The sequence below is a fragment of the Homo sapiens genome, chromosome 12, assembly GCF_000001405.40.
Source record: "Homo sapiens chromosome 12, GRCh38.p14 Primary Assembly".
NCBI lineage: Eukaryota > Metazoa > Chordata > Mammalia > Primates > Hominidae > Homo > Homo sapiens.
In genome coordinates, this window is record NC_000012.12 from 119,136,948 (window position 1) to 119,151,541 (window position 14,594).

The following is a 14,594-nucleotide window of genomic DNA, read 5'->3' on the forward strand; positions in this document are numbered from 1 at the left end:
GCACATCTCCCTTCTCTTTCTCCATCTCCTCCTCCTCCCAGATGAACTCCTACCAGGTCAATGAATCCATTCTTTTGCTGTCTTCCTAATTAGTGCACTAAGGAAGATGAACAACAGAAAGGAAAATAAACTTAATGTCTTTGTGAAACAAAAGCTTTTTTTTTTTTAAGGAATAACCAGAACCCTCTAGCTAAAAGCTCTACCATACAGCTCCACACTCACATGAGAATTTCCAGTCTCCCATATGGCAGGGAAGAAAAAAAAATGTATAGCCGCCTCTCTCTATGGGGCCATTTGAAGCTCAGTAAATGGACTTGTTCAGTTTAATTGGAATTCTCTTCTTGATTGTATTTTTGTATCCTATTAGGCCGTGCTGCCTCTTGATCTTAGAATTCAGCTGAAATTAAATTTTGAAGTGTAAGTGAGAGGTTGCCTTTTTTCCCCGTTCTTGATTAAATAATGATTTGAAACAAAAACAATAAATAACAGTGCCGGCTTCCCTGGAGGGCTGAGAGAGACTCCCAGTGAAACGCCAGGGAGCTGGAGTTCGTGGTGGGGGGATTTAACTACTTATTAGAAAAACCTGAATGTGAACACTGAGTATATTAAGGAACAAGGAGATGAGGCGAGGTTTGGAGTGGAGAGAGAGAGAGAGAGAGAGAGAGAGAGAGAGAGAGAGAGAGAGAGGAGATACTGGAGCTTCACATTGGAAGGGGTTGAGGGAGTAAAAAGGGAAATAGTTCACTTCCCCCCAATGGCCTTGAGTTCATGAAAAACATTTTGTATTTAAAATTTTTAAAATTAAATTTTAAAATGTCTGAGATTGACTACCCTGACCCAGAGAGAAAGAGTTTATAATAACTCTGATGTCTGGATATGGTTTAATGGATCCGGTCTCCTGGTTCCTTTCATTGACAAAAGTCCAAGAGGGATTAAAAAGGTCGAGATGGGAGAGATGGAGCAATACACTTCACAGATCTGGAAGGAAGAGATGAAACATACAAGATGTACCAGGTTTATGTTACTCACAGAGGGATCAGAGTGGCAACAAACTTTTAGAACAGAGGGTCTCCAACTTAGAGGTCTTGGTGGCCAGCTAATAGATATGAGTAACAATGATCTCGTGGGGTTTGGGGTCCGGAGAGCTCATGCCCCATCTAAAAGGGGCAGCTGTAATTGCTCTCAGCTGATTCTTGCCAGGCAGGGATTTGGGCCCAGTGTTGCCAGATCTTATTTTTCAACAGAAACTGGAAATGGGGTTGTTACATGAAACCTCCCATTCTACCAACGTTGGCAGTTAATTCCAGTTTACTTCCTGACATACTAAGGGAGCTAACGAAAGCATGTCTGAAACAAAGCATAACTCGGCTCACCGGTTTTCCAGTGTTGACCTGGGGTACTGAAGCAGATAGTGTCCATATATAGATCCTCACCCTCTGCACTTCGGGGCGCATGGCTGACTTCCAGCTTCCAGATAGTATTCTCTGGTGCCAAAACCTATTTTCTCTGCCTGTTTGGCAGTCTGGACATACTAGAGAATTGATGCTCCAGTGTTCAGCCTTGAGTGATGGGGAACTGGTGTATAAATATCCCAGCTCCCTCACTCCTTGGTTGAGGTTAACTCTGGGGTGCATGTTCTACACTGGTTCCCAGGGTGTCCTCACTGAGATTAAGCATCCACTGCCCACTGTAATAGCTGGTTTGATAATGCATCTTTTATTGTCTCCCTCTCTCCTCTGCATCATTTCCACACTCCATTACAGAGGTTCCTTGCCCTCTCAAATTATTAGCACTCATTTTCCATCTCGACTTCTAAGAATCCAGATTAGACAGGCATTATTTCATTTGGCCATTAAGTAGATCTTGTGGAAGCTGGATTTTCATGCCATACCCCGAAAGTAGGCTTTTATGTAGACATCATGGAGGGTGAGGGCTGAGATGGAAGAAGAGGTAAAATTGGACCAAGGAAGAGAACCCTGGTGTAAGGGTTCCAGCTCTTAAAAGGGGGTCCTGGGTACCTGGAGGGCATTATTACCAGATGACAGAGGATCTGGAGTGGCTCTTGCTAATAAGTATCTTGGGACAAAGAGCAGTTGCATGCACAGAGAGAAACTCCCAATGCATGAAGAGGAGCTCTTCAAAGATGAATTATGAGAGGCCTATTATATAAATAAGGAGGCAAAAAGAAGCAAAGGAGAACCATCCTGTTGTATCAATGTCGGAGGGGGGTGACTGTTTGCACCTTATGTGCCAGAGAGAGTGGCTGACTAGGAAGGCAATACCCAGGGATGGAAGGGCAGAGGCAAGACCATGGGAGGCCCCTTTTTCAGCCCATCAGATGCTCACAACTCTAATGTCTCCTCTGCACTTCCACGGTCAGACCTCTCCCATCCTGTCTTGGGCTTCCCTCAATTGTATCTTCTTTCCTCCTCTTCTTGTGGAGTGAATGGAGAGCTCTGCAGAAGGTGGAGTCTGGGGTTTAGGAGACCATTAAACTATCTGAATATCTCTGATGATGACTTTGTGAAAATGCTCCTACCACCTGGAAGGATAAACAGAGCACATCAAGATTTGTAAAGACAATACCAAGTAGAGTTCAGCTGAAAAGAAGCAGGAATGAATGTCTTCAGGTTACCACCTCCTCTCTGCCAGAGGAATCTTCTAAGTAGGCCAGATGGAGTAAGACGATTTACTCACTCCAGATATACCCGCTAGGGACATGATGTCATGCTGGTTGTCCCCTTTGAGAGGGTGACCAGCATGGAGAGCAACTGGCAGATCAAAACCCCCCTGCCCTCCATTTACTAAGCTCTGAATACAGATGCAGGACTGCTTCAGCCCAGAAAAAGGTGTACTATCTCTTTTCTAATCTTTCTGGCCAGAAAGGGCACCTTTTTCTAATTCTTGACCCATAAGGAGCACCTTTTTTTTTCATTTAAAAAATTTAATTATTATGGCTACATAATAGTTGTATATATTTACAGGGTATATGTGATGTTTCCATACAGGCATACACTATGTAAGGATCAAATCAGGGTAATTGTGCATCCATCTCCTCAAGCATGTATCATTTCTTTGTGTTAGAAACATTCCAATTACACTCTTTTAGTTATTTTAAAATATAAGAAAAATTATTGCTAATTCTGCCGGGTGCAGTGGCTCACGCCTGTAATCCCAGCACTTTGGGAGGCTGAGGCGGAACAGATCACCTGAGATCAGGAGTTCGAGACCAGCCTGGCCAACATGGCAAAACCCTGTCTCTACTAAAAATACAAAAAAAATTACCTGGGCGTGGTGGCAGGCACCCGTAATCCCAGCTACCTGGAAGGCTGAAGCAGGAGAATCGCTTGAACCCAGGAGGTGAAGGCTGCAGTGAGCGGAGATCATGCCATTGCACTCCAGCCTGGGCAACAGAGCGAGACTCTGTCTCAAAAAAAAAAAAAAAATTATTGTTAACTATAGTCGTCCTGATGTGCTACCAAATACTAGATCTCATTTATTCTCTCTAATTGCATTTTTGTACCCAGTAACCATGCCTACTTTATACTCCACTTCCCACTACCCTTCCCAGTCTCTAGTAACCATCATTCCATTCTCTATAGGAGTACCTTTTCCTAATAGGAACAAAGTCACTATGCAGGCTGGCAGCCTTGCTGCATGCAAATGACTGAACTCAGTCCATCTTTGAACTTGAGCTCCCATAGTAGCAGAGAGTGGAATAAGAAGTAAGAAGACCCAGCACAGCTTGTTTCATCTGAAAGGTTTTGCAGGTCGGAAACTTCTCACCTGAAGGCTGCAGCTTATGCTGTTGAGAATCTGTGCAGAGCCTCTGGGTGCTTTCTCCCAGGGTCCTCGGTCTGAGGGGTATCAGGGGGAATGAGAGAAAGAACAGAGGGCTTTCTTTCTCTCTGCCAGGGGTCTGGACCTCAAACTTTCTTCTAAGACCTTCTGTTCAATAGCACAGTAGAGTGGCTCTAGTAAACAATAATCTATTTTATATTTCAAAGTAACTAGAAGAGAATAATTTTTTTTGGCTCAGGCTGGAGTGCAGTGGTGTGATCTTGGTTCACTGTAGCCTCCACCTCCCAGGTTCAAGAAACTCTCCCACCTCAGCCTCCCAACTAGCTAGGACTACAGGCACATGCCACCACACCCGGCTAATTTTTGTAGTTTTTGGTAGAGACAAGGTTTCGCCATGTTGGCCAGCCTGGTCTCGAACTCCTGACCTCAAGTAATCCACCCACTTCGGCCTCCCAGAGTGTTGGGATTACAGGCGTGAGCCACCATGCTCGGTCTTAGAAGAGAATAATTTGAATGCTCCCAGCATAAAGAAAAGATAAATGTTTAAGGTGATGGATATCTATCTCTATTACCCTGATCTGATCATTACACATTATGTGAATGTATCGAAATATCACATATATTCCAAAAATATGTACATCTATTATATATCAATAAAAATAAATATTTGATTCTAGAGGTTCTCTCGAGCTCACACACCCAGCCGAGCTGGTCTTGAGACCCCAAGCTTCAGCCAGGGGTCTCCAAGTTTCCTAGAACGATTCTCAGTGTGATGGAGGCTGGTTTCTTCTCAAATTCCCAAAGCTGGCAGACACCCAGCTGGATCCCACCTGGGCCTGATCACCCAGTTGTCTCTACAATAAATGAAGTCAGGCAGGCCCACAGAGGCTTTCAAAGGACCGGAGAGCAAACTTGTTCATTAGGCAAAATTTACTGAGTGCCTACTCTGTGCCAGGCATTGGTGAATGCTGGGGTGCAACATTGAACCAGTCATGGCCCTGCCCTCAGCAAGCTCCAAACCCAGTCAGAGAGACGGCCAATAAAATAAGCAACTACTGTACTGAGGAACAGGGCTGTGGCAAACAAATGACACTCATTTTTGAATGAGTGAGTGAATTCAAGATTCAGTGAATGAATGAAGTGCAGTGTATTGTGCTATCCTGGTCTGGAGGATGAGAGAAGGCTTTCTAGAAGAGGTGATAGGACACCTGGAGGATGAATAAATTTAGCCATGTGAAGTGGGGAAGAGAGGAGTATTCTAGGCAGAGGAAATGGCATGTGCAAATGGCCTGGGGTTAGAACAAGATGGGATGGCAGAACCAAGAAAACTCGAATCTGAATCAGTCAGCTTAGGCTGTGGGGGCCAGGGTGGGATGGTGTGGAAGAGATGCTATTTGTGAAGTAGGCAGGACCGGGCTGTAAAAAACACTGTCATCCATGTCAAAGAGTTTAGATCCATTCAAAGAAATGGGATTTTTAAACATGCAGGAGAGGTTGGTATTTTCAGGCACCAAATTTAACCCAATGAGAACATTTCAATAGTGCCTTTATCCCTGTTTTCTGGTGATGATGGAAAAGCATAATGCCTTGTAGATTTCTCAGTTCTGACCACACAAGTTACATGTGGATAAGTCAGAGCCAGGTGGTGATACTCTGAAAGTATCCCTGTGAGCTCAGAGTGTTGGGTTGAGAAGATGAACAAGGCTAGATCCACTTCTATATCCACTAGCCCAGAGGGGCCTCACATTCAAGAAATCCTTGCCTACGGGGATCCATGGTGCACCAGGAAAAATGAAATTCGTAGTCAAGACTAGGAACAAGTACTTGGGAGAGAAAGGCCCAGCCTGGCAGCCTCCAGGTAGCAAACCACAAGATAATGAAAATTATTGTACTCACAGGCCCCTGTCCTTGAGTTCTTCCAGCCTAGCTCCCTCCAGGATGGGCTTGTTGGATTCACTTGTAATACACTGGCTACCAACCACTCACCATCTCTGGGGCAAAGATTCCATGATCCCATCTTTGTACCAAGCCCAAGCCAGAGATCGCAGATCTCAGGGTCTAGTTGCCTGGCATGATACATTCCTGACAGAGGTGGTGGAGATACATGTGTTACCATTGAACTCCAGAGTTGAGAAAGATGTGGCATCTAAAATGCAAAACAAGAAGACAAATAAATAGGAGGACTGAATGGGAACAGGGCCTTTACATTATTGTTTTAAAAGTCTCACTCTAGAAAACTCCACCAGAGCAACCTTATTTTGAGGTCCCTTCTCCCAAAGCAAAGCTATCCAGTGTGCCATGCAGGTAAAGTGGCAGCTGTGCTGGACAGAACTTGCTAAAGCTAGACTATCACCTTGCCTGTATGCAAAGCCTCCTGGGAGAATCTACAAAGGAATTCCTGCCTCCCCAGCCCCAGGAGCTGACATCCTGACCACAGGAGTTATGCTATTCTCACAGTTCCAATGTGTCTGTGTTTCACCCTCATGACCAATTGCTGAGAAGGCAGAAATAGTTCTTAAGAAATTCCAGAAGTAGAAGTCCCCCCTCCTTTAGGGCCAAGATGCACAAGATAAAGTTTGGGGAAAGAGTAGGCTTTTTATGGTGAAAGCTGCCCTAACATTTGTGGGGTCAGAGCAAAGGTATAGAAGAAGACCCACAAATTAGATGTCTAAATGTTTATAAATAAGTCAGCAAACTTAATATGTTCTCTTATCTTGGTCAACATACCTTCAAAATGATCTGAAAGTTAGTTATGAATTTAGACCCTTGGACCATTTCAGAGTGCCAGGATATGACATGGCAGTGGCGGGAGAATCTGGCCCTGGAACCATCCCTTTCTCTCTCTGCATCTGGCACATCCAACACCATGATGGGGCTTACACACATGCATATAGACCCCTCAGCCTGAACATCCAAGTTCTGTCCAAATAGCTACCCTTGGACCTAGAAGTGTGGACACTTGAAGCATGGTCTACCTGCAGGAGAATGGATCCATGGATGAGGTCTACAGAGACCTGGAAAGTGGCATAGGAGTCATTTAAACAGAGAATTTTGGGATCTCAGGTACCCAGAGAGTGGTTAAGGCGGGCAGCAGTCTTAAGGGGGTGCCTTCTTGGTCCCCCAGATTTCTCATCCCATAGGGATGGTTATCTCTGGAGAAGGCCCAGGGCAGGGGTCCCTCCCATCCGCAGCTAAGCATGGTACTGCTGGCAGAGGCCAGCATCAAACTTAACTGTGTCATCCCAGCCACAACAGGTCTGAATATTTAAAGAAACCCCTCGCCATCCTGCTTCTAAACGCGTGCCCGCCTTCCCAAGTGCTGGCTTTCCATCGCCTCCTTTACTCCTTCATTGGTCCTAGATCAGCCCTAGACAGGGTTCTCGGGGCCCCTCTTTATTCCCAGTCACCCCAAAGCCCAATTTCCAAGCCCCTTCCAAAGCCCTCTGTTGCAAGCGCATCCTCCCTCCCTCGTGCCCCCTCAATATTCACACCTAGGTAGTAGATGCAATACTCTAGCTGCCACTGGCATGTTCCACAAGGGTTTCCTGCTCCAACTTGGGCCCTAAGGGATTGATTAGGTTGGCTAGGTTAGGTCCCCTTTATGACAAAACCAAAACAGAATTGATGCCCCCACCCGTCAAGGGCACTTAAAAAACCAAAACTCAAAGTTCAGGGCCAAGTTTGAGGATGTGCAGAAAGGTGTGTGTTTTTTCTTGTCAATTGCGACTCTAATGATGGACTCACGTTGCCCGCTCTTCCCTTTCTCTTACACCTTACCTACCTACTAAAGGAGGAGTTCTTGCTTGGTAAGTGGATATAATCCGCAAAGACATGAGAGAATTTATTAGAAGCCACTCAAGAGCCTTAGCTACCTTCTACAAGGGGAAAAGGACACACACAAATATCTATAGTGACCCTTTTTTTCGTTTATTTTTGGTCAGACTGTTTAACTTCCATTTTTTTTGTCCCCTCCTTTCTTTTCCCCTTTAGTTGAAAACTGCTAAAATGTCAGTTTGCGACCTTGACTTTATATTTAAAAAAACAAAAAACAAACTCTCATCTTTATTTCATTTCTTTTCCCCATGTGATATTTGTTTAGGTTTCTATTCAGGCAACTTTTTCTTTTCAAAAAAAATTGTTAAATTAATTGAGGATTTGGTTGAAGTTTAAAATTTTGGCTTTATCTGCTTTTATTTTTAATTTCCAAGATATATTTTTTCAGGCCCATAGTTCCATTTCTTTTTCCCCTTTCCCTTCCTTTATTTTTTATTATTGTTTTAGGTTAAGGGTGTTTACACCCCCTTTCTATTGAGTTGACTCTTTTGTTTAATTCATTAGAAATTAAATTTTGTATAATTTCCTTTTTCTTTTGTTTAATCTGAATCGCATGCTTTTTCTCTGCATGATACCTAAATCTTCCAGTTATCCTAGCAGGGGGTAAAAAAAAAATCTCCTTTCTGTGGTATTCCTTCAGGAATTTGTGCTTTTGTTTTTTGGCGTCTCTTCTTTCTTCTCCTCTCTCTCTCTTTCCTTTCGTTACAGTGCATCATGACGGTAAACATTTCTTGGTTATTTAGAAACAGCCCATGGGCCCAGCGCTCAGCAGTGTCCAACGGGTCTTTTTGCTTTCAGATCACTGGGTCGGGGTCTGCTGCTGACCTCTTTACCAAAACAGCCAGCCCGCTCACCACCTCGCGAGGACGTTCCCAGGAGTACGACTCAGGAAATGACACGTCCTCGCCACCCTCCACGCAAACCAGCTCAGCCAGGTCTCGGGGCCAGGAGAAGGGGAGCCCCAGTGGGGGCTTGAGCAAGAGCCGGGAGCTCAACAGTGGCAACACCTCTGATTCAGGGAACTCCTTCACCACCTCCTCACCCCAGAACAAGGGGGCCATGTTGGAGAATCTCTCCCCCACCAGCAGGGGCAGAGAGTCAAGGTCAGTGCACCACACAGGGTCGGGGGTAGACGGTCTCCCACCTTAGCTCCACCTTCTCATGCTCTCATCCCAGCCTCCCCCACTCCACCCCCAAGATTATTTTATTTGTAAGAGAGATGAAACTCAACTCAGACTGGCTTGTTTTAAAACACTAGTGGCACTAGCTTCAGGTACAGCTGGATTCAGGGGTTCAAAAATATGTTGCTGGAAATCCGTCTTTCTCATTACATCTCTTATTCTGCTTCCTCATCCTACTGGCCTTATTCTCAAGCAGATCCTCCCAAAGCATTGTCAAATATGCCAAGCAGCTAACATTCTATTGGTTTAGCCAGCCAACAGGAAAACAATGCTTCTTTCTCAAAGATTTCAGCCAAACACCAAGGCAGGTGCTTATTGGTTCTGTTTGGCCCAGCTTAGGTCATCTGCCCATCACTGTCCCAGGGGATGCTATGCTGTTGGCCAGAATGTGTCAGATGCCATCACTAGGGCTAATGAGTCGAACCTTCCCACACTCCTCTACAGGAAAAGCCAGGTTATTGGTATCAGGAGAGATGGAGGCTAGGCAGGCAAAAAAACAGATGACAATTTTACCAGTAATCTTAGAAGGAAGTCGAACATTGACCAGGCGTGGTGGCTCACACCTGTAATCCCAGCACTTTGGGAGGCCGAGGCGGGTGGATCACCTGAGGTCAGGAGTTCGAGACCGGCGTGACCAACATGGAGAAACCCTGTCTCTACTAGAAATACAAAATTAGCCGGGTGTGGTGGTACATGCCTGTAATCCCAGCTACTCGGGAGGCTGAGGCAGGAAAATTGCTTGAACCCTGGAGGCGGAGGTGGCAGTGAGCTGAGATTGTACCATTGCACTCCAGCCTGGGCAACAAGAGTGAAACTCCATCTCAAAAGAAAAAAAAAATGAAAGAAAGTCTAACATTAAATTAATTGTAAGTCATTTAAGAACATATCACAGGCCAGGTGCGGTGGCTCACGCCTGTAATCCCAGCACTTTGGGAGGCCGAGGCGGGTGGATCACGAGGTCAGGAGATCGAGACCATCCTGGCTAACACAGTGAAACCCCGTCTCTACTAAAAATACAAAAATTTAGCCAGGCATAGTGGCGGGCGCCTGTAGTCCCAGCTACTTGGGAGGCTGAGGCAGGAGAATGGCATAAACCTGGGAGGTGGAGCTTGCAGTGAGCCGAGATTGCGCCAGTGCACTCCAGCCTGGGTGACAGAGCCAGACTCCATCTCAAAAAAAAAAAAGAACATATCACAGTATTTACCCAAATGAATTGAAAACTTATCTCTACATAAAAACCTGCACTTGGATGTTACAACAGCTTTATTTGTAATTGCTAAAACTTGGAAGCAACCAGAATATCCTTCAGTACGTGAATGAATACATAAATTATGATACGTCCAGACAATGGAATGCTATTCAGTGCTCGGAAGGTATGAGGTACCACGCTATGAAAAGACATGGAGGAAATGTAAATGCATATTACTAAGTGAAAGAAGCCAATGTGAAAAGGTCACACACTGCATGGCTCCAACTGTATGACATTCTGGAAAAGGCAAAACTATGGAGAAAGTACAAAGATAAGTGGTTGCCAGAGGGTGAGGGGACAGAGGGATGAATAGGCAGAGCACAGAGGATTTTTAGGGCAATGGAACTACTCTGTGTGACACTACAATGGTGGATAACTGTCATTATACATTTGTCCAAATCCATAGAATGTATAACACCAAGAGGGTACTCTGATGTAAACTATAGACTCTGGGTGATAATGATGTGTCAATGGAGGTTCATCGATTGTAGCAAATGGACCACGTTGGTGGAGGATGCTGATAGTGGGGAATAAGGCTGTGCGTGTGTAGCAGCAAGAAGTATATGGGAGCTCCCTGTGCTTTCCATTCAATCATGCTATGAAACTAAAACTGCTCTAAAAAATAAAGTTTATTAATTATAGATACAGATATACCATAGTATAATTTATCAACATATCAGAGAACATTGAGATTTCTCCATTTTTTTACCCATCTTAACACACTCACTAGATGCAGTTTTCCTGCAGAAAACTCTTCCACACAGATGCATATGAGCCAGTTGTAATTCTACTTCGTCATCCGCTTAACTCTCTCACTCAAGAAATCACAACAAAATGCTAATCACTGAGGTTACTGTCATCATAATAGCTACTAAAATTTACTGATCACTTAGTCTGTACCATTCATTCTGTTGTTTATTCCTCAACTTGTTTATCAGGCAAGTCCTCTCTGCCAGACACTCAGCCTGGTGCTGGGGATTTAAAAATGGAACAGTCCTTTTTCTCAGGAGCTTATAATTAATGAGGCAGATGCACAGTTGCGGGATGGGTGGAAAAGCTTTGCTGGTGCCCTCTGTCATGCTAACAGTGAGGTTTTTCTACTTCTGAGGGTGGGAGTTTGCCTTTGTTCCATATAGCCAAAATTTTCAAAAGATGACTAACGCCTTAGCACTGAAGCAGCTAACAGCTTCTTCAAAGACAGAGCACTCTTTGTCCCTAACACATACCCCATTTCAGTCCTGGACAAACAGCTTGACATCCACATGCAGAACTGCCTTCCCATTTGCCTGCCCCAGGTCATCCCTGGCCTCAGCTCACACCCAAGCTTGACTGAGAACCTGAGCTGGGCCAGAGCCAATGTCAGTGTCTCCAAGAACAGGCAGTGAAGTTCCCAGAAGGGAGGAGGAGGACACATGTTTACTGATATACAGCAGTGCTATTATGCAGGAAAAATTGAAATAGCAATAACAACAACAATAATAACGGCAGTTCATATTCGTTGAGCCCAAATCACATGCTAGGTACACTGCCAAATGCTTTCCAGAAATAATCTTCCCGAGCTCCTCAAAACCTTTATAGGACAGTACTATTTGTAACCCTTTTTTACCTGATGGGGAAACTGAGGCTCAGAGTGGTTGAGAAACTCAGTTAATAAGTGGCAGCACCAGAATTCAAATACAAATATGTCCCCCAAACAGGAACTAAAGCCTGAGAGACATCTAGCAGTTACCTGTTTAATTTGATCTCCATGGACAGCCAAATTAAGTAATTTAGACCCAGCCTTTCACTTTGAAATATAAATGATGGTTGAGTCCATGACTGTTTATGTCATGCCACTTATGAGCAGAGAGGGCTCAATAAATATGGGCTGAGTGGAAGAGACATCAGCTCTAAATCAAAGGAACCATAGACACTGAAGGTAGGGAGCTGGTGAGGTGGGAGGGGTGGGGACTCTGGAGCTGCACAGATCAAGGTTTGGGGCTCTGGGTGGTTTTGAGGAAATAACAAACCCTTCTGAGACTTCTCTGTAAATCTGGGGGTAATAATAGCATTGGCAGCTGGGCGCAGTGGCTCATGCCTGTAATCCCAGCACTTTGGGAGGCCAAGGCAGGTGGATCACGAGGTCAAGAGATCAAAGCCATCCTGGCCAACATGGTGAAACCCCATTTCTACTAAAAATGCAAAAACTAGCTGAGTGTGGTGGTGCGCACCTGCAGTCCCAGCCACTCGGGAGGCTGAGGCAGGAGAATCGCTTGAACCTGGGAGGCGGAGGTTGCAGTCAGCCAAGATCACGTCACTGCACTCCAGCCTGGCGACAGAGCGAGACTGTCTCAAAAAATAAATAAATAATGATGTCGGCTTCAGAAGGTTGTTGGGAATGAAATGATGCTTGTGAAATTCTCAGAACATTGAAAAGGTCCCCAGGGAGCTGTCTCCAGGGAGCTCAATATCTGGGACAGAAGAGACAGCCTACAAGTATAAGACTAAGTAAGCCATATAGGGATAGGCAAAACATAGAACTAAGGTCTGTGGTAACACACTGGAGGTCGCCCAACCCAGACAGGGGACGGGGGTGTCAAGGAAGGTTTTCCAGAAAGGGTGAGGTCAAGCTAAAGCCAGAATCATAAGTAGGAGTTGCCAGATGAAGAGGGAATGGAGAGGGTTTGCAGACAGCCAGAATGTTCTGAGGCCTGGAGACAAGGAAGAGAATAGGGATATTTCAGGAGGAATAAGTAGTCTATGACAGCTGGAGTCAGGAGAGGAAAGAGTCAAGACCTGAGATTGGAGGGGTGAGCAGGTGCCAGGCCATCGTGAGCCTTGAAAACCATATTAATGTGATTTGAACTTGATTCTTGGCCCAATCCAAATAAATATGCCTTCACTGAGCACCTAACAGAGGTCAGCCTGGCCCTAGGCAGGGTGGGAGTACAGAAGACAGCACTCTAGCCTTCTGATAATCCTGAAGCCTCTGTCTTTTGGGAGGTCTCAATTCCTCCAACTGCAAAATGGGTTACATCAAAATTTCCCAAAACTAAACCAACAACAGGTCATCTTGATTTTTACCATATCCATGTACTACTGATATTCCTGTTTACTTTAATAAACTCATTTTTAATATATAAGTAAAAGGAAAATTACAGTACTATCTGAAATAGAAAATTAGAATCAAATGTCCTTGGCCGGGCACAGGGGCTCACATCTGTAATCCCAGCACTTTGGGAGGCCAAGGCGGGTGGATCATTTGAGGTCAGGAGTTTGAGACCAGTCTGGCCAACATAGTGAAACCCCATCTCTACTAAAAATACAAAAATTGGCTGGGTGTGGTGGCATGCACCTGTAATCTCAGCTACTCGGGAGGCTGAGGCAGGAGAATTGCTTGACCCCTGAAGGCAGAGGTTGCAGTCAGCCACTGCACTACAGCCTGGGTAACAGAGTGAGACTCTGTCTCAAAAAAAGAATCACATGTCCTAAATAAAAGGTACCTATAAAAACACATATGATTAAAACAATGGATTTAATCCTACTAGTTGCAGTTGCCTAACCAAGGCTGAGTCTGAGGTGTGCTCCTCTCTCTTAGAGAGATTACAAAGTGTTAGAGAGGTGTTACAAACCAACTAGCACCCAATGGGGGCTTCCTCATTAATGTAATCAGAAGGACAGAAAAAGACTAGACAGGGAATAAATTTCTCACCATGTAATCTGATGTTACTTACCATCATGCCCATGCCTGATGACATTCTAAAATACTCCACTGTGGCCCCAGCGGTATGTGTTTCACACTTGAGGAAATGCTAACCTGAATTGTCTACTTTTAAGGTATCTTCTGTCTCTACTCCTCTAACATATGTGGCCTGGGAAGTCTTTCCAGAGAGAATAGGATGGGAAAAGGGGCAAAGAGGGTTCTATGAGAGCACCACAGCCTAGGCCAAGGTAGGGAGGTATTCAAACAAGATGCTCCCAGAGTAGTGGGCAGTCGGTGCTCATGGACATTTTCCCACCTGCAGGGGATTTCAGTCACCGTGTCTGGAATGTGCCGAAGTGAAGAAGTCCAGTTTGGTCCCATCCACAGCCCGGAGCTCACCCATGAAAGGGTGTTCCCGCAGCTCCTCCTATGCCAGCACCCGATCCTCCAGTCACTCGTCCCGATCCCCAAATCCCAGGGCTTCCCCCAGGTACACCCAAAGCCGATCCACCTCTTCTGAAAAAAGGTGAGTGTGGTTTTGACCTTTGCTCTGCAGCACCTTTCTCCTTAGGAAATTAGTTAATTGCAGATGTCCTTTGACCCATGGGGGAGAGAAGTCAGACGGACTTAGGTTTGAATACTCGTTTTGCCCATTTCGAGCTGGTGGCCTTGGGAAAGTCAGTTAATTTCTCTGAACCTGAGTTTTCCCATCTGCAATATGAAGAAATAGCAATTCTTACCAGAAAAGATTGTTCTGAGGGCTATAAGGCACTTAGAACAGTACACAGAACATAATGAATATCAGTTATTATTGCTGCTATTGGCATGAGAATGAGCTAATGTGTAT

The 14,594-nt window shown here is 44.9% G+C and overlaps 1 protein-coding gene and 1 long non-coding RNA gene across 3 annotated transcripts in view; one reads left to right on the top strand and one right to left on the bottom strand.

The window, feature by feature from the left end:
* SRRM4 (serine/arginine repetitive matrix 4) overlaps positions 1-14,594 on the top strand; it is a 181,511-nt gene that overhangs the window by 155,407 nt on the left and 11,510 nt on the right. The window contains exons 9-10 of the mRNA NM_194286.4: positions 8,434-8,738; positions 14,070-14,273. Coding sequence (NP_919262.2) covers positions 8,434-8,738; positions 14,070-14,273 — 509 coding nt within the window. The remainder of the gene's footprint in view (positions 1-8,433; positions 8,739-14,069; positions 14,274-14,594) is intronic.
* On the bottom strand, positions 865-14,148 carry LOC112268101 (uncharacterized). 2 transcript variants are annotated; one of them, XR_002957434.2, is made up of 3 exons: positions 14,064-14,148; positions 5,698-5,947; positions 865-2,542 (listed from the first exon to the last, which is right to left on the bottom strand). It is a non-coding gene; the product is annotated as an uncharacterized LOC112268101 (long non-coding RNA). The 2 variants fall into 2 exon arrangements; XR_007063481.1 differs by lacking the exon at positions 14,064-14,148 and adding an exon at positions 13,779-13,878.